General features: G+C 46.1%; 1 protein-coding gene across 1 annotated transcript in view, besides 5 other annotated features; it reads left to right on the top strand.

Annotated features, from left to right (window-relative positions):
• The window catches only part of TNFRSF13B (TNF receptor superfamily member 13B), a 33,038-nt gene that overhangs the window by 8,817 nt on the left and 785 nt on the right, over positions 1–23,436 (top strand). The window contains exons 2-4 of the mRNA NM_012452.3: positions 10,719–10,856; positions 14,319–14,564; positions 22,791–22,976. Of these exons, the coding sequence (NP_036584.1) occupies positions 10,719–10,856; positions 14,319–14,564; positions 22,791–22,976 (570 nt within the window). The remainder of the gene's footprint in view (positions 1–10,718; positions 10,857–14,318; positions 14,565–22,790; positions 22,977–23,436) is intronic.
• Positions 16,702–17,225: an enhancer, noted in NCBI's record as "H3K27ac-H3K4me1 hESC enhancer chr17:16849391-16849914 (GRCh37/hg19 assembly coordinates)". NCBI's record gives its function as "activates a minimal SCP1, AML or CMV promoter by ChIP-STARR-seq in naive H9 embryonic stem cells {active_cell/tissue: H9 hESC(naive)}" and the evidence as "EXISTENCE:reporter gene assay evidence [ECO:0000049][PMID:30033119]".
• Positions 17,226–17,749: an enhancer, noted in NCBI's record as "H3K27ac-H3K4me1 hESC enhancer chr17:16848867-16849390 (GRCh37/hg19 assembly coordinates)". NCBI's record gives its function as "activates a minimal SCP1, AML or CMV promoter by ChIP-STARR-seq in naive H9 embryonic stem cells {active_cell/tissue: H9 hESC(naive)}" and the evidence as "EXISTENCE:reporter gene assay evidence [ECO:0000049][PMID:30033119]".
• Positions 18,274–18,797: an enhancer, noted in NCBI's record as "H3K27ac-H3K4me1 hESC enhancer chr17:16847819-16848342 (GRCh37/hg19 assembly coordinates)". NCBI's record gives its function as "activates a minimal SCP1, AML or CMV promoter by ChIP-STARR-seq in primed H9 embryonic stem cells {active_cell/tissue: H9 hESC(primed)}" and the evidence as "EXISTENCE:reporter gene assay evidence [ECO:0000049][PMID:30033119]".
• Positions 18,859–19,359: an enhancer, noted in NCBI's record as "H3K4me1 hESC enhancer chr17:16847257-16847757 (GRCh37/hg19 assembly coordinates)". NCBI's record gives its function as "activates a minimal SCP1, AML or CMV promoter by ChIP-STARR-seq in primed H9 embryonic stem cells {active_cell/tissue: H9 hESC(primed)}" and the evidence as "EXISTENCE:reporter gene assay evidence [ECO:0000049][PMID:30033119]".
• Positions 19,360–19,860: an enhancer, noted in NCBI's record as "H3K4me1 hESC enhancer chr17:16846756-16847256 (GRCh37/hg19 assembly coordinates)". NCBI's record gives its function as "activates a minimal SCP1, AML or CMV promoter by ChIP-STARR-seq in naive H9 embryonic stem cells {active_cell/tissue: H9 hESC(naive)}" and the evidence as "EXISTENCE:reporter gene assay evidence [ECO:0000049][PMID:30033119]".

Raw genomic sequence — 23,436 nt, 5'->3', positions numbered from 1 at the left:
AGGTGTAGGCCTTGTCCAGCACAGCACTCCTTATCATAAGAAATGGCAATATTAATAAGGGCAGCAGCTCAGGGGGTTGTCTTTACTAACGTGCTCAATACCATACTAGGCACCTGCCATGCATATGCTGCTCACAGTGATTCTGTGAGTAAGCAACAGCATCCTCATCTTACAGGGGAGGACGCTGGGTGTCCAAGAGCAGAAGTCGTGCCCAAGGTCACACAGCAAGGAGTACCAGCCCCATGACTCACAGCCCAGGGTTCCAAGCAGGGCTGCCCTGTGGCTTTCCCCAGGCTCATCCCCAAAGTGGCTCAGAATCTGGTCCACTCCCCCTGCTGGTCCTTGACTTGTCCATTTTAGACGCTCTGGATTGATTCCCCACTTTCTAAGGTGAGAACTTAACTTGGACGTCACTATCTGCATGCATGCAGCTTCCCCTCCCCCGGCCCCCGGTGAAGGAGGGGTGCGTTTTCAGTTGGAGTCAAGATAGACCTGCTGGCTGCCGGCTCTGCTCCAGAATGTCAACTCCTCTGCAGTTTTGTTCTTCCCCTTCTCCTTGCTCTCTCCTAGAAAGCCTGTTTTTGCCTTTGCTCACTGACAATGGTCTAATGGCTCTCACAGTGAGTAAACTCTTTTACAGAAGGAATAATTCCACATCTCCACCTTATTTGTTGACTCAGATGGCTCATTTATTTATGACAATATAAATATTGCCCACAGCTGAGCTGCTGTACATGTCCTATGATTACCTTTCTTTTCCTTTCTTTTTTTTTTCTTTCTTTTTTTTTGGGGGGGGAGACCGAGTCTCACTCTGTGGCCCAGGCTGGAGTGCAGTGGCACAATCTTAGCTCGCTGCAACCTCTGTCTCCTGGTTTCAAGTGATTCTCCTGCCTCAGCTTCTCAAGTAGCTGAGATTACAGGCATGCACCACCACACCCAGCTAATTTTTGTATTTTCAGTGAAGACAGGGTTTCACCATATTGGCCAGGCTGGTCTCGAACTCCTGACCTCAAATGATCCACCTGCCTTGGTCTCCCAAAGTGATTGGAGAACAGGCATGAGCCACCACACCTGGCCTACCTTTCTTTTCTCAGTAATGTCTTTTGTTTCCCTGGAGTTGGTAACTCCTCTGTTTTCCATGCAGGTAATTCATCTCCAGCTCTGGGACAAATCCACCCTGTCAGTTGGTCAGACATCCTCACTTATCACTTCTGTATTTTCACTGGTGACATTTACCCTTCTTCCATTTTAGCTGGGATAGAGTACCCTCTAGACCTTCAAGCAGCTGTCACTGGGGAAGTCCTTCACCATCATGCTGAGAATGTCCATCTTCCTCTCTGCTGACAGGGGTCCTGTTCTACCCGTGGTTTTTTTGGCCACTCCCCAGATTCAGTGGAGCAAGCCCTCCAGTAGCTTCCAAGATCTTGCATGTCTGAGAACGTCTTTATTCTACCTCGCACTTGATAGATAACAATGTTCTAGACTGAAAATAACTTTCTATCCTAAACTTTAAGGCATTGCTCCATTTTCTGCTTACTTTCTGCTTTCTACTTCCACTTTTTGCTGGTAAAATATATATAATGAAACTTTTATCATTTTAATCATCATGACATATTCAATGAAGTGGCATTACGTACATGCACAAGCACCACTATCTATATCCAAAACTTTTTTATGGCCCCAGAAAGAAATTCTGTACCCCATTAATCAATAACGGCTGCCTGTGCTAACCTCTATTTTACTCTCTAACTCTGTGAATTTGCCTCTTCTACTTCCCTCAGGTAAGGGAAATTGTACAATATTTGTCTCTCTATGACTGTCTTATTTCACTTAGCATAATATCTTCAAAGTTTATCCACATTGTAGCATGTATAAGTATTCCATTCATTTTAATAACATCATAGTATCCTGTGTACCTGTAACATATTTTCTTTGTCCATTCATGTGCTGATAAACGATTGGGCTGTTTCCACCTTTGGCTGTTGTGAATATGCTGTTCTGAATGTTGGGGCACAAGTATCTGTTCACATCCCTGTTTCAGTTCTTTTGGATGTTTGCTTAGGAGTGGAATTACTGGGTCTTGTGGTAGTTTTATGTTTGTCTTTTTGAGGATCTGCCAGACTTTTCCACAGCTGTTGCTCTGTTATACATTCCCATGAGCAGTGCCTTCACATCCACTTGCTTCAGATCTCTAACGCTGCTTATTTTCCATTTTTAATAATAGCCATCCTAATGGGTGTGAAATGATATCTCATTGTGGTTTTAATTTGCATTTCCCTAATGACTAATGATGTTGAGCATCTTTTCTTGTGCTTGTTGACCACTTGAATGTTTTATTTGGAGAAATGCTGATTCAAGCCTTTTGCTCAGTTTTGACTTGAGTTGTTTGGTTTTTTGTTGTTGAGTTTTAGGAGTTCTTTATATATTCTGGATATTAACCCCATATTAGGTATATGATTTGAAGATATTTTCTCCCATTCTGTGAGTTGTCTTTTCACTCTCTCAATAGTGTCCTTTGGTGCACAAAAGTTTTAAATTTTGATGAAGTCCAATTTATCTAATTTTTTCCTTTCATTGCCTATGCCTTTGGTGCTGTATCCAAGATATCATTGTCAAATTTAGTGCATGGAGATTTTCCCCTATGTTTTCTTCCAAAAGTTTTATAGTTTTAGCACTTAGTCCATTTTGAGTTAATTTTTGTATGTGGCATTAGGTAAGCATTCAATTTCATTCTCTTGCATGTGAATATCCAATTTTTTCAGCATCATTTATGGAAGAGACTGTCCTTTTCCCCATTGAATGGAATTGTTAGGGTTTTCTACATATAAGATCGGGTTATCTGTGAACAGAGATAATCTTATGCTCTCCTTTCCACTGTGGATACTTCTATTTCTTTTTCTTGTCTAAGTGCTCTGGCTAGTTCTCCTGGTGCTATGTTGAAAAGAAGTGGCAAATGTGTGTATCCTGGCCTTGTTCTGATCTTAGGGCAAAGCTTTCACTTTCACCATTGAGAATGTGGGATCTCAAATATGGCCTTTATCATGATAGGAAAGTTACTTTCTATTCCTAGCTTCTCAAGTGTTTTTATCATTAAAAAAAGTTGGATTTAGTCAAGTGCTTTTTCTGCATCAATTGAGAAGACCACTAAGTTTTATTATTCATTCCTTTAGTGTGGAACTACCATTGCACTCCAAAAATAAATCCCACTTGGTTATGGTGAATAAACTTTTCATGTGCCATTGGGTTCAATTTGTATACATAAGACATATTCGTGTGTAATTTTCTCTCCTTGTGACATCTTTATTGTAATTTTGTATTAGTGTAATGCTGACTTCATGAATGAGTTAGGAAGTGTTCTTTTCTCTTTGGTTTTTGGGAAGAGTTTCAGAAGAATTGGTGTTCATTCTTTTTTAAATGTTTTGGTAGAATTCACTAGTAAAGCAGTCTTGTCCTGAGCTTGTCACTGGTAGGTTTCTGATTACTGATTCAATCTCGTTATAGGAGTATTCAAATTTTCTGTTCATTCATCAGTTTTGGTAGATTGTGTATTTCTAAGAATATGTCCATTTTTATCTAGGTTATCCAATTTGTTGGTGTACCATTGTTTATAGTATTCTTTTATAATCCTTTTTATTTCTGTAAAATAAGTAATAAAGTTCTTAATGTCATTTCTGATTTTAATAATATGAGTCATCTCTCTTTTTCATAGTCAGTCTACCTAAAGGTTTGTCAATTTTGTTGATCTTTTCAAAGAGGAGCTTTTGGTTTTGTTGATTTTCTCTATTGTTTTTTCATTCTCTGTGTTATTGATCTCTGCTCTAGTATTCATTATTTCTTTCCTTCTGCTATTTTTGGATTTGGTTTGTTCTATTTTTATTTCCTCAAGGTATATAATTAGGTTATGATTTAGTTATGATCAGGTTATGATTCTTCTTTTTCAGTGTATGTATTTACATGAATTTCCCTCTTTGCATTGCTTTTGTTGTATTTCATAACTTTTGGTATGTTGTATTTTCATTTTCATTTGTCTCAAGATATTTTATAATTTCCCCTGTCATTTCTTCTTCGACCAATTTGTTGTTGAAGAGCGTGTTGTTTAATTTACACATATTTGTGAATTTTCCAATTTTCCTTCTGTTATTGATCTGTAGTTTTATACCACTATGATCAGAAAAGAAACTTTGAATAATTTTAATTTTAAAAAATTAAAAAATTTTAAAGTTTAGCCTTGTTTTGTGGCTGAACATAAGGTCTATCCTGGAGAATGTTCCATGTGCACTTGAAAAGAATGTGTATTCTGCTGTTGTTGCATTGAGCGTTGTCTATATGTCTGTGATGTCTAATTGGTTTATAGTGTTCTTGATGTCCTCTATTTTCTTATTTATGTGTCTGGTAGTTCTGTCTTATTATTGAAAGTGAGGTACTGAAATATCCCAATATTAGTGTAGGACTATCTATTACTCCCTTCAACTCTGTCAATTTTTGTTTCATATATTTTGGAACCCTGTCATTAGGTGTGTATACATTTATAATTGTTACATCTTTATGCTGTATCCCCTTTATTAATATATATTGTCCTTCTTTGTCTTTTGTAATTTTTTTGTGATTTAAAGTCTGCTTTGTCTGACAACAGTATAGCTGCCCCAGCTCTCTTTTGCTTTCTATTTGCATAAAATACCTTTTCCATTCTTTTACTTTCAACTTCTATTTTACCACTATTTTACTCATTGCCTATTAAATCATATAGGAAAAAATTGGAGTTACAAACCACGCAAAAAGTAAAATAATTCTGGCTTTGTATTTTTTTTTAATCTAAAGTAAGTCTCTTATACACTGAATATACATGAAGCCTGTGGGTTTTTAAATCCAATCTGCCAATTTTTTTTTTTACTAGCAGAGTTTAGTTCATTTACATTTAATATGATCACTGATAAAGATTTACTTCAGCCATTTATATATTTGTTTTATGTATGTCTTACATGTTTTTGTTTCTTCAATTACTTCATTTTTGTATTTTGTTCATTTTTTTTGTAGTGGGCCACTTTGAGTCCCTTTTTCTTTCTTTTTCTATACATATTTTAGTTATTTTCTTGGGGATTACAATTAATATCTTAAACTTATGACGTCCTAGTTTGAATAATATCAACTTAGTTTCGGTAGGTCATAAGAGCTTTGCTCCTGTATGTCCCTGCCTTTCCCTTTATATTGTGATTATCACATACTGCATCTTTGTACACTCTATGACCACTAACATAGGTTTGCAATCACTGTTTAACTCATTGCCTATTAAATCATATAGAAAAAAAATAGGAGTTACAAACCATGCAAAATGTAAAATAATTCTGGCTTTTATAGTTACTTATTTAGTTACCTTTATATTTACTTCACTTTTTCTTATGTCTTCAAGGTACCGTCTAGAGTACTTTTATTTCAGCATGAAAGACTCACTTTAGGATTTCTTGTAGGGCAAGTTTACTGATAATGCACTGCTCAGATTTTGTTTATCTGGAAAAGTCATAATTTCTCCTTCATTATTGAAAGGTGATTTAAAATTATATACAATTCCTGGTTGACAGCTTACTGTTTTCTTTGAGGACTTTAAATATATCATTTCACTACCTTCTGGCTGCCATGGTTTCTTAGGAGAAATCAGCTGTTACCGTATTGATGATCCTTTGTACACAAGAAGTTGCTTCTCTCTTGCTGCTTTCACAATTCTCTCTGGCCTTGGGTTTCCTTGATTTTATTGTAATATGTCCTGGTGTGGGCTTCTTTGAGGTTTTCCTGCATCAAATTTATTGAGACTCCTGAATGAGTATATTCACGTCTTCTCAGATTTGGGAAATTTGGGGCCATTATTCCTTCAAATACTTTTTCTGCCATTTTGTCCCTTCTCCTTCTGTAACTTCTATGAGCATACATTAGTACATTTGGCTCTGTTCAATTTTCCTCAATCTTTTTTCATTTTTGCTACACAGACTATTATTTCAATTGTTTTAAGTTTGCCAATTGCCTCTTCTGCTTGCTTAAATTTGCGATAGTTCCCTTCCATTAAGGTTCGTATTTCACTTTTTGAACTTTTTCATTCCAGAACTTCTGTATGGTTCTTTAAAAAAAAAAAAAAGACTACTTTTAGAGCATTTTTAGGCTCACAGAAAAATTCAGCAAAAGTACAGAGAGTTCCCACATCCCTGTCCACATCCCCCCGCACAGCCTCCTCAACTAGCAACATCCTAAACCAGATGGTGCATTTGTTACAATCAGTGAACCTACACTGACACGTCGTTATCATTTAAAGTCCGACGTTTACATTAGGGTTCACTCTCAGTGTTGTACATGGCTTTGAACAAATGTATGCGGACATGTGTCCACCATCGGAGTATCTTGCAGAGTAGCTTCACTGCCCTAAAAATCCTCTGTGCTCCACCTACTCATCCCTCCCATCCTCCAACCCCTGGGAATCACTGATTTTTGTATTGTCTCCATAGTTTTTGACTTTTCCAGAATGTCATGGAGTTGAAATCATACAGTAGACTTTTTAGCTTTGTTTCTCTCACTTAGTAATATGCATTTGAGGTTACTGCATGTCTGTTAATGCCTTGATGGCTCATTTTTCAGTATTGAATAACAGTCCATTGTTTGAATATACCACACTTTATTTATACATTTACCTACTGAAGGACATTTTGGTTGCTTCCAAGTTTTGGTTCCTTTTTTTACCACTTCTTTCTCTTTACCATGTGCTCATTGTGTTCACACAACATTTTCCTGACTTCCTTTAGTTCTCTGTCGGTTTCCTTAAGCTCATTGAACATGCCTAACACAAATCTTGATTTCACACCTTTGACTAGTAATCCCAATATATAGACGTCCCTGGAAATGGTTTCTGTCATAGTCTGTATTTCCTGTAAATGTGGCAAAACTGCTGCTTTGTATGCTTTGTAATATTTTTTTGAGACCTGGACATTTTGAGTGTTACGTTGTGGTGACTGGAAATCTAACCTTACCACTCCTCAAGGATTGCTGAAACTTGCCTGTTAAGGGCTGAAGCCATCTGTTTGTGACTTTTCCAAGCTTTTAGTTTTAAGCTATGTATTTTTCCAAATTTAATTTGTATTTTTGCACAGTATGTATTCCTTGTTGTGTGTAGTCACTGAAGTTTCTGTTCTTTTATCTCTGCAGTCAACCAGTGACCCAACAAAGATTTCCTTAAGTGCTTGGCTCCCAGACCAGAGAAGGATACTGTCTCTTTAAATCCCGTGGAAGCCACTTCAGCCCTTGAGGGTTGAAACAATGTCCTTTGTGCCGGCCCCTCAGTGGTCACAGGTAGCCATCAGCAATCAGAACCCACAACCTCAATATTTGGCGGACAAGGGTCCTTCTTGCTTATCCTGGCTCTAGCCAAGTGGCACTGCCATGGAATAGTAAGTAGCCACTACCATGTGATAGGCTGAAATTCCTAAAATTTACCATCAAGCTCTCCCCTGGACAACTCCACAGTTCCCAAATAGTGACTTCAGACAGTGGCTGGCAGCTCCGTAGTCATTTAGCAGGAGGCACAGATTCCCAGAGCTTGCCACTTTACTGCTTTCCTCCATGTCACTCCTCACATCCCAGGATTGCTTTTGAGATGTCTTGACTTCGTAAATATGATGATGTACCCTAGTTTGTGAGACTGTATTGCACTGATACTTGATTGACTCCTTCAGTCTGGAGCCAATGTCCTTCCAATCATTAGTCAACCTTCGGAGCTCCTGAAATGATTCCATAATCTCCTATCTTTTGTCTCTTATTTTCTAGACAATTTATTCGATTACATCTTCCAGCCCTTCTACTGATGTTTTTATTCTGGCTATAAATTATAATTCTAACAATTCTCATTTGTTCTACGAACGTCCTTTACAATAGTCTGCTGTTTTGTTTCTTAGATACACAATCCTCTCTTATATTTCTGGGGATCTCAACTGTTGCTGCTCTTGTTTTAAAATGCTCTTCTGTTTCCCGCGTGTCTTCGTTGGCACCAGGTGTCTGCCTTCTGTTTGGTTTGAGTTTGCTTTCCTGCTAGAGGCAGTGCTCCCATATCAGGTGACCCTTGGCCATTGGTTCACAAGTCAGACTGAGGCACTGACAGCTGCCTGGAAGTTCTGGGTAAGCAGTTGGGCTCACTGACGTAGAAGCTTTGCCCCAGTGGGATCAGGCAGGGACTTGGACATTTTCTGGAGAGAATCTCCCGCTGTCAGTGCCTCTGGGTCTTTTCCTTTGGGTCTGTTTTCCCAGAGCAGAGACTTCTGATTTCCTGCCAGTTGCAGGGTAGGGAGGGAGGCATCTTTAAAAACCTGGTTGCCACACTCCTTAGATAGAAACTGGGGTGGGTAAGGAGAGGGGAGACTGGCTGTCCAGGAGGAAGATTATCACAATTCCCCTGTTGCCAGGAAGGACCACGTTGCTACCCTCAGCTGTGTCCAAGGAGACCCCACTCTTATGCCTGGGTGGGTGAGGGACTGGCACCTGCCTTGGAATGGGGATGTGCTGGGGTCACACCCTCTTTATGTAAGTTTCCAACCAATCCTCTTACAGAGCTTCACCCCTTCTGCCCAGCCCTGCCGTCAGAGATACGTGGTGCCTCCAAATCTGGAGACTTCCTTGAGTTCTGTGACTCAGAACAACTTCCTTCCCATGTAGGCATCAATGATGAGAGATTCTCAAAGGCAGTCAGGCACTCTGGTTCCTCCATCTCCCAGAATGTTAGAGACATGTGTTCTTTGCTGTAGAAACCTCTGCCATTCCCTTGATCTCTGAAGATAGATGGACTTGACTGTCAGCTTTGCATGGTTTCAGGAGGGAAGGAAGATAAACCCCTGTGTTTAAGCTGCCGTGTTAAATGAGAGGCCCCTGGTCTTTTTTCTTTTCCTTTTTTAGAGACTGGGTCTCACTCTGTTATCCAGGCTGGAGTGCAGTGATGTGGTCATAGCTCACCTCAGCCTTGAACTCTCAGGCTCAAGCGATCCTCCTGTCTCAGCCTCCTGAATAGCTGGGACTACAGCACGTGGCTAATTTTAAAAATCCTTTTGTAGAGACAGGATCTCACTATGTTTCTCAGGCTGATCTTGAACTCCTGGCCTCAAGAAATCCTCCCACCTCTACCTCCCAAAATGCTCGGATTACAGGCATGAGCCATGGTGCCCAGCCACCTCTGGTCTTCCCTCAGCTTGCTTTCGTTAAAGAACAAACACATGCCACTGGGCGTGGTGGCTCATGCCTATAATCCCAGCACTTTGGGAGGCCGACTCGGGCGGATCACGAGGTCAGGAGTTTGAGACCAGACTGGCCAACATAGTGAAACCCGCTCTCTACTAAAAATACAAAAATTAGCCAGACATGGTAGCATGCACTTGTAATCCCAGCTACTTGGGAGGCTGCAGGAGAACTGCTTGAACCCGGGAGGTGGAGGTTGCTGTGAGCCAAGATCACACCCACTGCACTCCAGCCTGGGCAACAGAGAAAGACTCCATCTAAGAAAAAAAAAAGAACAAACATATGCCTTGCAAAATGCTTTTAAGCATTTTTAAGGAGAAGTTATTGGGGGAAGCAAATGTCATGAAATCAGAAGAGGATGGAGAAGGTGATGCATGCACACAGTGGAAGATTCACAGTAACACAAAACCAGACATGCAGAGAGCGCCCACATGGATGAGTCTCAGGCACCAAGTGGAGGAACAAAACCAGACACGGAAGTACCAGAAGGGGCAATATTAGCCTATGAGGGTAACAACAGAACAGTAGCTCCCTCTAGGCATGGGCATTGGGTGTCGGGGGACCCCAGGGAGGCTTCAGGGGTGAGGAAATGTCCTACATCTCCATGTGGGCTGTAATGACACAGGTGCATACATACATCAAATTTCACCAAGCTGTATTCTTCAGCTTTTTGTGCACTTTACACACATCATTGTGGTTGTTTCATACTTTAGTAAAAAAGAAAACAAGAAGGAAATTGACATTCTTGGTTCTTGCTGTGTGCTAGGCACTGAGTTGGTCCGTACTTAAAGAAACCATTCACTTAATGAGCAGGTGCTGTGTCCTAAGTACTATCTAGGTTCTGAGGACTCAGCAATTAATAAGAAAAATTAGGCACAGTCCCTGCCAGATGGTGCTCACAGTTAGTGTAGGAGCCAGCATCAAATAACCACATGCATAGAAGGAAAGTGACCACAGCAACAGGTAAAGGGCAGTGCGAGTGTGTAGAAGAAGGACCGTGTCCTAGTCTAGGGGGTGAGTCAGAAAGGCTTCCCTTGGAGATCAGGTTTAGACAGAGGTCTCAGTCTGAGAAGGAATAAACAGCTGAGGGGCAGGGGCTGGGGAGAAGGGCACGTCATGTGAGGGAACAGCAGGTGCAAAGACCCTGTGGCAGGGAGAGGCGTGGCACGTTAAGGAGGGCAGGGAACAGGGCCCAGTAGGGCACTGCTGATGTGAGAGAGCAGGGGGCCTGAAAACAACCATGTGCAGATGGGGAAACTGAGGCTGGAGAGGGGAGGTGGCTGCCCCAGGCCCCTAGCAAGTGCAGTGGGGGCTAGAAGCCAACTTTGTCTGCCCTCTCTGCTCCTCAGACAGAAAGGTTGTCTGTGCGAATGTGGGCAGGAGAGGCCGTCTTGGTTCCCATCAGGGACAAGAGGCCGGGCTGTGGCCGCCTGCCAGCTGCCCTCACTCTCCTGGTCTCTCAGTTCCACAGGGCCTGTGGACGGGGGTGGCTATGAGATCCTGCCCCGAAGAGCAGTACTGGGATCCTCTGCTGGGTACCTGCATGTCCTGCAAAACCATTTGCAACCATCAGAGCCAGCGCACCTGTGCAGCCTTCTGCAGTGAGTTCTGGGGCCTGAGCCGAGGGGACAGTGTGATCACCCTCCTCCTTTCTCCCTAGAGCACCCTCTGGCCCCACAGTCAGGTGGCTGAGGAAAGGGTGGCAGGAGGAGATGTACAGTGTGGCACCTCTTACCCCTCCACCTTTCTGCTTTGGTCACACAACCTCCTTTCGGTGTCTCAAACACAGTCCATTCTTTCCTGCCTCAGTTCCTTTGCACATGCTATTCCCGCTGCCTGGAATGCATTCCCTCTATCATCTTCCCTCAGCTCCCTCCTACTCAACCTTCAGGTCTCAGCCCAAACGTCAGGGGTCTCCTCTGACCACCCAGTAGAACTAGGCCCTCCCTTGTCACTGTGTGTTGTTACATTCTTTTGAAACTTTTTATTACAGAACTTATCACACATGTACATAGAGAGGACAGCACAATGACGCCCTCTGCACCCATCACCAGCTTCACAAATTGTTTAAATTCTGCCTTGTACTTTCCCAACCAATTTTTTTGACTTGTGTATTTTATTTTATTTATTTTATTTTTTATTTTTATTTTTATTTTTTGAGATGAAGTTTCGCTCTTGTTGCTCAGGCTGGAGTGCAATGGTGCGATCTTGGCTCACCGCAACCTCCACCGCCCGGGTTCAAGTGATTCTCCCTCCTCAGCCTCCCGAGTAGCTGGGATTACAGGCATGTGCCACCACACCCGGCTAATTTTGTATTTTTAGTAGAGATGGGGTTTCTCCATGTTGGTCAGGCTGGTCTTGAACTCCTGACCTTAGGTGATCCACCCACCTCGGCCTCCCAAAGTGCTGGGATTACAGGCGTGAGCCACTGCACCCAGCCTGCCTTGTGTATTTTAAAGCACAGCCAAGATCTCATATAATTTTACCTGCAGATACTGGACCACGAAAACCTGTGAAACATAATCCAAATATCCTATCACTGCCAGCAATAATTTATTAACATCATCTAATACTCAGGCAATATCCAGTTTTCCCTGATTGTCTTGAAAATTATTCGTTGCTTGCTGTTCTTTTTCATAACCTGTTCTTTTCCTTGATAGAACTTACCACAATTTGCTGTTTTGTTCTTTCATGTGTATGTGTTTTATGTCTGACTCAACCACTAGACTGGGAGCTCCCTGGCAGGGGAACCATGTCTGACTTGAGCCTAGCACAGTGCCTGACACATAGTAAGTCCTTCATGAATACTTATTGCGGGGAACTCAGAGAGGCTGAGTGACTCACCCAAGATCACCCAGTTTAAAAGTGGAGATGTCACAGCGACATCCTGGTTTGAACCCAGGACTCCGACTCCTAAATCATGACCTGAACCACTACCCATTAATGAATTAGAACATTCATTGGTTCATCCCACAAACATAGATGGAGTGCTCCAGCCCCATGGAAATAGGAATCTGCCGTGGCCCTTCAAAGACAGTGTCATCTAATGGGAGAAATGACTATGTGTCAAGGTAGAAAGCCACAGTTGGGAGAGACCCCCTTCAGCTAAAGGGCTGGGGAGCAGGGAGGTGTCCCTAGAGGAAGCACCATCAGAGGCAGATTGTTAAGAGGTCACAGAATGCGGAAATCAGATGGGCACCTGGAAGAAAGGGCACTATGAGCAGAGGCTCAGAGGAGGGAAACACAGTGGGGAGGACTGAGTCCCAGGCGGGGGAGGGGAGGGGTGTGAGGTCAGGCAGGGAGGGGTGTGAGGTCAGGCAGGGAGGGTCAGTGGGCTGGGGCACTCAGGCACCACCTGCAACAGCACCACCTGCAACAGGGGAGGAGGTCACAGAAAGCCCCAAGGACACCAATGCTGGGCTAACCCTGTGTGATGCAGAGTGGAGGTGTCAGTTTCTGTGCGGTTCAGGGGCGCCCTGGGGATAGGGCAGGGCCAGAGCAGGGGAGGTCACTGGCCCTATGTGGGCCATCTGAGTTTTCCCTAAGGTCCCAATTCCGTGATCTTTTAGTTCCTTCCTTTACTCTGTCAAAGACACAAGAACGGATCTGTTTGCTTTGTGAAGAGGCTCAAATGAATATTCTACTTAAGCTTTCCATTACGTGAGCATTTAGTATGTGCCAGGCACTGTGCTGGGCCCTACAACTCTGCCAACAACCCTACGAAGAAGTCAGTACTGTTATTTTCCCTATGTTGGAAATGAGGAAACTGAGGCACGGAGAGGCTAAGACCACACTGCCTGCAAGTGGTACAGCCAGGGATGGCCCCAACTGAAATTTGGTTCTGAAATTTGGGTTCTTATCCACTATCCTGCACTGTCTCCAAAATGTGTCCTTAAAATATATGTGTGAGCCACATATATTTTATTTATACATATTTATTTATTTATTTATTCATATTTACGAAGTCAGGACATCTCAAAAGCCATACCTTACTCTAAATACAAAGGAAACTTGCCTTTTTCACGTAAAAACTTCCATGTAGAAATATTCGGAGGCTAGACCAGATGCGGTGGTTCATGCCACCTGTAATCCCAGCACTTTGGGAGGCCGAGGCAGGCAGATCACCTGAGGTCAGGAGTTCACGACCAGCCTGGCCAACACGGCGAAAGTCCATCTCTACTAAAAATACAAAAATTAGCCGGGTGTTGTGGTGGTCGCCTGTAATCCCAGCTACTCGGGAGGCTGAGGCAGGAGAATTGCTTGAACCTGGGAGGCAGAGGTTGCAGTGAGCCGAGATCGTGCCATTGCACTCCAGCCTGGGTGACAGGAGCGAAACTCCTTCTCAAAAAAAAAAAAAAAATTAGAAATATTCTGAGACTTTAGATAAGATAATTGATTGTTCCAAATAGGTTTCTTTATGCATTCAAAGTTGGGTCCACTGTGCTCTCTTAAGGCAAGTGTGATTTGGCTTTAGTTTCCTTGGCTTCTGTGCCTTGGCACTGATACTTGTGTAAGCTGCTGTAATTCTCATCTAGTATTAAGACAGAAGAAACACTATTCATGTGAACTTTTCCACCTTCCTTCCAGCCCCCTCCCCCAGCTTGTCAAAGAGGATTCTGGCTTTTCCCCTTCTTTCCTTATGCTGATTTGAAATATATTTCTCCTTGATGAGGCTTGAAAAATGCAAGTAAAAGTCTTATGTAACAATGTAATCCAGATCTAAATTTTAAATGATAACTGAAAATCTTCATACGTTTGGAAACTAAGAAATGCACTTGTAAATAACCCATAGGTCAAAGAAAAGATAATAATGAAAAATAAGTGCATTTTGATCTAGGTAGAGGAAAAATACTACACATCAAAATGCAATGCAGCTAAAATAGTACTTAGAGGACAATGCATAGTCTTCAATGTGTATATTGTAAAAGTACTTGGCTTACTCTGGAATTGCCTTCTGGAATTTTACTGTATTTTTTTTTTTAACTTTGATGTCCTTTGTGGTCAAACCCAGAGTTCCTGCTAGTCTGTGTCACCCAGCAGTATCATGAATTTCTCTCTCCCAGGGTCACTCAGCTGCCGCAAGGAGCAAGGCAAGTTCTATGACCATCTCCTGAGGGACTGCATCAGCTGTGCCTCCATCTGTGGACAGCACCCTAAGCAATGTGCATACTTCTGTGAGAACAAGCTCAGGAGCCCAGTGAACCTTCCACCAGAGCTCAGGAGACAGCGGAGTGGAGAAGTTGAAAACAATTCAGACAACTCGGGAAGGTACCAAGGATTGGAGCACAGAGGCTCAGAAGCAAGTCCAGGTAAGCCACCCAAGGCAAACCTGCATGGTGTCACGCAGGGTGAGAAAGCGTGGGAGGCCTGATGCCAGGCCTAGAACAGGAGAGTCCACAATGCATGAAGCCCAGAGTCCAAGCAAATGGCCAGAAGCCAGGGAGATCATCCCAGGATAAAAAAAACAATGTAGGCAACATTTCCAGAAGTCTGTGGACAAGAAGAAAGCAGGAGAAAGGACCTGCCGTGTGAGGAAGAGCCTTGCACTAGAGGCTGCCGAGGCTGTGCCAGTCATTGAAGCACAGGCACAAGTAAGCAGCAGACCCACCTGTGTGAGCACCTGAGCAGCAGCCACCACCTGCCCTCCACCAGTGCTGCAGACTCCATTTATTTCTATTATTATTTTATTTATAATTTCAACTTTTTTTTTTAGATCCGGGGGTACATGTGTAGGGTTTGTTACATGGGTATGTTGCTTGATGCTAAGGTTTGAGGTACAAATGGTCTTGTCACCCAGGTGGTGAGCATAGCACCCAATAGGTAGTTTTTCAGCCCTTGCCCTCTCTCTCTGCCTCCCCCTTCTAGTAGGCCCCAGTGTCTGTTGTTCCTGTCTTTATGTCCATCTGTATTCGACACTTAGCATTTCACTTATAAGTGAGAACATGTGGTATTTTCTGTTTCTGCATTAATTCACTTAGGATAATGGCCTCCAGTTGCATCCATGTTGCTGCAAAAAACGTATTTTTCTTTTTATGGCTGTGTAGTATTTCATTGTGTATATTTACCACATTTTCTTTATCCAACCATCGATGGGCACCCAGATTGATTCCATGTCTTTGCTATTGTGAATTGTGCTGTGATGAACATACGTGTGTATGTATCTTTTTGGTAGAACGGTTTATTTTCCTTTGGATATATACCCAGTAATGGGATTGCTGTGCTGAACGGTAACTCTGTTTTAAGTCCTCTGAGGAATCTCCAAACTGCTTTCTACAGTGGCTGAACTAATTTACATTCCACCAACAGCGTATAAGCGTTCCCTTTTCTCTGTAGCCTCACCAGCATCTGTTGTTTTTTTACTTTCTAACAATAGCCATTCTTACTGGTGTGAAATGGTCCCTCATTGTGGTTTTGATTTGCATTTCTCTGATGATCAGTGATGTTGAGCATTTTGTCATGTTTGTTGGCTGCTTGCATGTCTTCTTTTGAAAAGTGTCTGTTCATGTCTTTTGCCTACTTTTTAGTGGGGTTATTTGTTGTTTGCTTTTTGAATTGTTTAACTTCCTCATAGATTATGGATATTAGACCTTTGTTGGGTGCATAGTTTGCAAACATTTTCTCCCATTCTGTAGGTTGCCTGTTTACACTGATAGTTTATTTTGCAGTGCAGAAGCTCTTTCATTTAATTAGATCCCACTTGTCAATTTTTGTTTTTGTTGCAATTGCTTTTGAGGACTTAGTCATAAATTCTTTCCCAGGGCCAATGTCCAGGATGGTATTTTCCAGGATTTCTCTAGGATTCTTATAGTTTAGGGTCTTACATTTAAATCTGTAATCCATCTTGCATCTATGTTCCTCAGGGATATCGGCCTGTGGTTTTCTTTTTTTTGTTGTTGTGTCTTTGCCAGGTTTTGGTACCAGAGTGAAGCTGGCTTTCCAGAATGAGTTAAAGGAGACCCTCCTTGATTTTTTGGAATAGTTGCAGTAGAATTGGTACCAGCTCTTCTTTGTGCATCTGCTAGAATCTGGCTGTGAATTCATCAGATTCCATTTAGAGGCAAAAGAGGCTTCCTAAGAAAGAGAAGGGAAAGGTATCACTTAAAATGTTTAAGTAGTTCATTAACAACTGCCAGAGGGAAAAAAAATTGTAAAAAGAGAAGGCTCAGCATGGTGACTCATGCCTGTAATCCTAGCACTTTGGGAGGCAGAGGCAGGCGGATCACTTGTGGTTCGGAGTTCAAGATCAGCCGGATCAACAAGGGGAAACCCCATCTCTACCAAAAATACAAAAATTAGCTGGATCTGGTGGTGCACACCTGTAGTCCCAGCTACTTGGGAGGCTGAGGCAGGAGAATTGTTTGAACCCAAGAGGTGAAGGTTGCAGTGAGCCAAGATCGTGCCTTTGTACTCCAGCCTGAGGGACACAGTGAGACTGTGTCTCAAAAAAAAATAAATAAATAAATAAATAAAAATAAAAATAAAAATAATAAAAAATAAGTAAAGAAAATGAAAAAACTTATGGCTGGAGATGGCCACTTTGGACATGGCAAGAAGGGTCCTGTTGAGCTGGGCATCTGGTAAGTGCCAGGCATCAGAAATGATCTAATTAACCCTATCCCAGCAAACACCTCTTTTTGCACCTGCCCTGCTCTGTGGCATCAGAAAGGACAGAAGAGGGATGCCGTGTGGATCCATAAATACTAGCGATGGCATCTGCCCTGCTCTCGGCCTGTCCTGCTCTTCTTGGGGCTGATTGGTTCCTTTCCTTTGCAGTGACTTTCCTGTGATAACATCATTTCCATGAGGCCAGGTCCCAGGGCTAAGGTCCCATGGGCAGGGCCTGTGTGCCTGATGATGGAGGTTGCCCAGCACCCTGTTGTCCCTGCTTAGCCTGGCATCTCCTGCTCTCCTGTCAGTTAGCTGCTGCTGCCTAACAAGCCATCCCCAAATGCGGAGGTGTGTGCTTTCTCCCGAGTCAGGGGTTTGGCTGGGCTCAGCTGTGCCAGGCTGGCTCTGCTCCATGTGCCTCTCATCCTCCTCCTGGGACAAGTGGGCTGGCCAGGTGCGTCCATCTCATGACGATACAGGAGTGCAGCAGACAGTAGCACGCAGTCCTCTCGCCACCTAGGCTGGTAACTTACACTTCATCACCACCGCTGCATTTCTTTCCATTCACAGTGCCAGCGGATTCAGGGGAGGGGAAACAGACGCCACCTCTTGGTGGAAGGAGCAAGCTGGGGGAGGGGGGAAACCTGTAGCCATGGTGAATTCAAGGCCATTTTTAATCTAGCACAGCCTCTCCTGAGGGGAAGAAGTGCAGATTCACATGGAGGGGGTGTGGATACAGAGGGGCTGAAGAGCCCAGCCACAGATGCGAGGGGCCATGCCTGCCGCCCTGGTGTCTGGCCACCTGCGCACCTTCCCTGCATCCAGTGATGCATTTGAAACTTCCTGCAAACCTGGAACATTGCCCACCTCTGATGCAACAGATTCCCCCGTGGGTCATTCCTAGCCACCTCACAGATCTAGAGAGTGAGTCTCAAATTTGGAGTGACTTGCTGACAGTCACACAGGGAATGCGTGAGTGAGCTGGGATTTGAGCACAGTCTGGGGGTTCCAAAGTTTGTCCCCTCTGCAACAGCAAAATGACCCAGAGTGGCGTCTGCAGGCTATTGCTCCTTGGCGGTGAACTGTTGCCCCTGGGACAAGGTTAGCCACTTCATGTGTGTGACCATCAGCCAAGCCCCCTTGCCAGAGGGCACTGGGCAGAACCTTGGAGCCTCATCTTGGCTCCAGGGATGGAGCCCAAGGCTGTGAGCATTGGGGGCTGTGTGAGGATGTGTTGGTGCCAGTGGGGTCGGCATTACCATGCCTCACCCTACATCAGCTGCCACACTTGTGCCATGGCGCGGCTTTTGGTGGCTCTGTGACTGTCGCTGTGCACTGCCCTACCCTGCCCTTTATTTCTCCAGGGGCCCAGGGTTAAGGTCTGTTCTGTTCTGACTTCTGATGCCTGCATGGGCTGGTGGGGCAGGAGGGGAGCTTGCTGTGGATTGCAAACAGGAAGTACAGAGCCACATGGCCAGGGGAGGGACCCAGAGGTGGACCTATTCAAGGGCAGAGAGCAGAGGACACCATGTGACCAAGTTGTCCAGCTGCACACGGTGGAAGGGCTCACCTGTTCTCTGCCCCCTTCCGTGGGCTCCCTGAATTCTGCCGTTCCCTGTCTCCAGCCCTGCCAGGTCCCACCTCACCCTGACTCCAGGTTTCTCTTGCATCCCATTCAGAACTGCCACTCCTTAGTGGGACCTGGAACTGTGGCAGGCTTGCTGTGCATGGGGAGTGGGGAGAATGAGGCAGTTCCTGTCCCAGACCCATGGAGCTCACTGTCTCGTGGAAGGCCAGGCAGTGGACAAGCCACGCAGATGACAAATTCCTCTCAGTGCACGGGAGCCACGTAACCCAGCTGCAGGTGACACGGGGACAAGGAAGGCTTCCCCGAGGAGGAGTCTTTAGGGCAGGCTGGGGTGCGGGTGTGGAGTGTGGAGCCAGACCCCTAGTTATGTCCCTCACAAGCTGTGTGACCTGGAGCAAGCTACCGACCCTCTCTGAGCCTTAGTTCTGTGAGGCTGGAGTTGTTCGCCTTCATAGAGCTGCTGTGAGGGTGATTTGGGAGAATATGTTTTTGGGGGAGCATGTGCTCTGTGCGCTGGAACTGCTCATTCAAAAAGCAACTATGTTGAAGCCACACGGTGGAGACAGGGTTCCAGACAGAGGCAACAGCATGTACAGGTGCTGCTAGGAGCAGAGAACTGTGCCGTTGGGAGGCTGTGAGGGGCTCTGTGCTGGAGGCTGGGATAAATCCCTTCCTCTCGGGCTCCCAGCCTGCAGGAGTGTGGTGGCCACTCCACAGAAGCAGGAGGGACCCCACCCCAGATCTGCTTTGAAGGTAGAGACTGACCGCTCCACATGCTCACCAAGAGAGCACAGAAAGCCCTGCTGCTCACACATGGCGCTTGGTGGGGAGAGGAGGGCAGGCTCCCAAGCTGGACTGAAAATGGCTTGAGATGTTGAGCAGGAGAGGAGACTGGCGTGGGGTTCTACTGCGACGACTCCAGGCCGACGCGAGGAGCTTCCTGCCCGGGCTCCGGGGCAGGTGCAGGGAGTGTGTGTGTCTCCCTGAGGGGAACAGGTGGCCCAGGCAGCCTGCCCTACTGGGTGGGGCTGCTCATCTGTCCGGCAGAAGACGAGGAAAAGCACCAAGGGCAGGACCCTGTCCCCCAACATGGGGGTTGCAGAGGACTGAGTTGGGAAGAGCAAGGATTCAGGGGCAGCTGGAGATGGCACTAGGAGGGACCAGATGCCAGATGACAGAGGGCCCTATGTGCCAGGCTGGGAGGCTGATGTCCTGCTGGGGGCAGGGGCAGCCATGGGAGAAGGGGGTCAGAGCAGGGCTGTGGGGAGAGCTCTCTGTTGCCCCTGGATGGTGGCGATAGCAGCAGGGGCCCTGTGAGAGGCTACTTCTGGCAATAATAGGAACCAGAGACCTGGGAGGGGGACAGAAGGACAGTGCATTGGCATGAGATTAGAACTGGAGGGAGAGGTGCTGGCATGTGATCAGCCATGGAACTGCTCAGCCTCTGTGTCCTGCAGACACTGGGGGTGCCCGTGACCCCTTCTGGGAATAAGGTCAGAACTAGGCCTCCTGGGCTTGTGGCTGCATCACTCCCATCTCTGCCTCTGTCTTCACATGGCTTCTCTCTCGTGCCTGTGTCTCTTCCCTTCTCTTCTTGTATAAGGACACTTGTCACTGGATCTGGACACTTGGCACCAGATCCTCATCTTCATGTTGTGACCCTGCGTGGCTCTGTGGGGAGGCAGGGTTCAGCTAGGCGGGTCTTCTGCTGCTCTTGCTTGGGGTCTGTCATGCAGATGGTGCTGGGGATAGAGCCATTGGAGGCTTGACTCTGATGCTGGGATATTCAGGCCTTGCTTCCCCTCCAGCTGATCTCAGGGCTTGCCCCTCTCCACTGGGACTCTCCAGTTGGACTTCTCGAGTGGTAGCTCAGGCCCAAGGGAGCAAACACCGAGGCTGTCAGGCCTTCTTGAGGCAGAGGCCTGGAGTGGCACAACCTCGCCCCCATGGCACTCTCCTGGATAGGATGAGGCCCAGTCCAGCCCAGAAGGTCCACAGGGCATGATGTCAGGTGACTGTGCTCTGGGTGTGGTCTCTGAACACTTGCATGGTCTCTGAAAGCTGGGTTTCAGAATCTTATGATGAAATGTTTGAAATATGCACAAATGTTTAGTTTTCCTCCTTGAATCAACGCCGTTCATTTCCGCTTAGTAACAACCTGTAGCCTGGCATTCTGTCTGTGCTCTGAGGGCTGGTAGCGTCTCCCCTGCTCATGCCTCCAGGGCAGTGTTTGCATTTGATTTGAGAGGTGAATAGGAGCAGGTAAGCCTTGGATATGTGGCACCAAGTTTGCAGGTCCTGGGGTCTTTGCTTTCCTCCGTTAGGCCTCTCTGAGCTCTGGGCACTGGACAGAAGGACAGCCACTGACTGGCGGAGTGACACGAACTCACCCCAAGTTCCCATCTCCCCCCTGTAAATGTCAGAGTGACACTGATGACCCCTAAGAGTCCTGGCAGCTCTGTCACTTTATGAGATTCCTGAATCTAAAAGCGTGTGTGAGGAAGACGGGCAGTGCCAGCCCTGGGGCCGCTGTGTGGCCCGCGGGCTTGGAGCACCGGCCTGGGAATTGGTGAGACCGGCTCCCGGGTGCAGGTCTAAGACCGAGAACAATATCTTAGACACTCAGTTTTGTCATCTGTAAAATGGAGTGTGAACGGCAGATGCTGTGCAACGCAGTCCAGCAGGTCCTCAAAAAACAAAACAGAGCTATTATGTGACCCAGCCATTCTTCTCCTAGGTATACACCCAAGAAAATGGAAAACATCCATCCACACAAACATGTGGATGTGAATGTTCACAGCAACGTCATTCACAATAGCCAGAAAGTGGAAGCAACCCAAATGCCCATTCCCTGTTGAATGCGTAAACAGATGTGGTCTGTCCATTCCGCCTAAAGAGAAACGAAGGTCTAATACACAGCACGGCAGGACATGGTGGACCTTGAAAACTCAAAGCCAAGTGCAAGGAGCCAGGCATAAAAGACCACGTGTTGTATGATTTCATTAATATGAAATGTCTGGAATAGGCAAATCCACAGAGACAGAAAAGAGATGAACAGTTGCCAGGGGCTGGGAAGAGGGAATGGGGAGTGACTGCTGATGAGACAGGGTTTCTGTTTGGTGATAAAAATTGTCTCCAATTAGACAGTTGCCATTGCTGCACAACCTTGTGATGTGCTAAAAGCCACTGGTTGTACACTTTAATACAGCAAATTTGATGGTATACAAATTCTCAGTATTTTTAATGGGGGTAGTTGTCTGCCATCAGAGCGGGAAGATGAAGGGGGTGCTGTAGGGGAAGTGCCCGGCACGAAGTGGGACTCGCTCTTCTTGACGTGTCATCTTAAATCTGGCTCATCTGTCTTTCCACCCAGCGCCTAGAGGATGCCCAGCTCCAGGGACAAGGAAGAGCTTTTGGGATAAGGAGAACTTCCAAGGGGAGGGCTTTCACCTGGGCTGAGTCTGTCTCTGGCATCCAAACCTGGAGGCACAAGTCCTGAGTCATAGGGTGGCCAGGTGCCCTGATGCCCAAAGCCCTCCTGGTTGGCACCTGCTGTCCTGGTCTCAGTGTAACGTCGCCTGTCCTACTCTCAAACACAGTGGGCCCTCTGTGTCGTGCGACCCATGTCTGTGGATTCAACCAACAGCAGCTGGAAAATACTCAGAAAAGATAGGGGATAGTTGCATCTGTACTGAACCTCTGCAGCCATTTTTTCTCATTGTTATCCCTAAACAATACAGTATAACACCCTTCTACATGGCATCTATATTGTATTTGGTATTATAAGTAATCTAGAGATGACTCTAATTGTATAGGAGGATGTGCATAGGTTATATGCAAATGCCAGGCCGTCTTGTATCAGGCACTTGGACATCCGCGGATTTTGGTATCTGTAGGGGATCCTGGAACCAGTCCCCCATGGATACCAAGGGACGACTGTAAACGCTCACTCAGGAAGCTTTCTCCTTGGAGGAAGGGCCCAGTTCAGGATGCACAGAGACATGCTCCCTGGAGCATCGTCTGTTCGTCTGTCGATTCACCCATCAGCCCATCTCCAGCGCTGTCCCAATTACAGCCCTAGCAAGTGGAGACAACAAGAAGGCCTAGCTCACGTTTCCAGCTTTGAGGCCTTAGAAAGTTGCTGCCAGGATGGGGGAGTGGATCAACTTCCTCCAGGATCCAGAGAGCATCCCAGCAGCCTCAGGGTCAGAAAAGGAGCCCAGCCTCTCCAGGAGCCAGACAGGCTCACAGCAGGGGGATGGGGGGATGTGGATTGCTTGAGCCTAATGACGGGAAGAGAAGAAGGCACTGCAGAGAGGGGTCTCATGCTGTCTTGCAGCTCTCCCGGGGCTGAAGCTGAGTGCAGATCAGGTGGCCCTGGTCTACAGCACGCTGGGGCTCTGCCTGTGTGCCGTCCTCTGCTGCTTCCTGGTGGCGGTGGCCTGCTTCCTCAAGAAGAGGGGGGATCCCTGCTCCTGCCAGCCCCGCTCAAGGCCCCGTCAAAGTCCGGCCAAGTCTTCCCAGGGTGAGTGCATGAAACTGGGGTCCTCGCCCTTCTCGCTGCTTGGGTGACAAGCCTCGGGCCATCCCTCGGTCCTGTCACTGCCCCTGCTTCTAGGTGGAGAGGCCCAGGGCTCATCCCTGTTACTTGCTATACCTTGATAAAATCAGGTTAAGACATCCTGGCAGACAGATAACTGGGAGAGTGGCACCCGGGAAGGGTGGGTGTGGGGTGCCGGTCTTCAGGTTTGCCTGGGCCCAGGATTCTCCAGATGCAGAGCCTTCAGGGCTAAGCCCAGGAGGAGGTGTCCCCTTGGGGGGCGTGGCAGGCTCGGTGCTGGACAGAAGTGAGAGCCAAGAATTGCCTGCCCACCCCTGCCCCGGCACAGGTTCTGGTCAGCAACTGGCGGACACTGACACCTGTCTGGGGGCGTTCTACGCTGGTGATTGCCCTTAGCTCCTGGGTCGGGGGAGAGTGCGGCTGC

Source organism: Homo sapiens, chromosome 17 (assembly GCF_000001405.40).
Source record: "Homo sapiens chromosome 17, GRCh38.p14 Primary Assembly".
In the NCBI taxonomy this organism is placed as follows: domain Eukaryota; kingdom Metazoa; phylum Chordata; class Mammalia; order Primates; family Hominidae; genus Homo; species Homo sapiens.
Note: the sequence above shows the minus strand (reverse complement) of the source record. Positions and strands in the feature narration are given on the sequence as shown.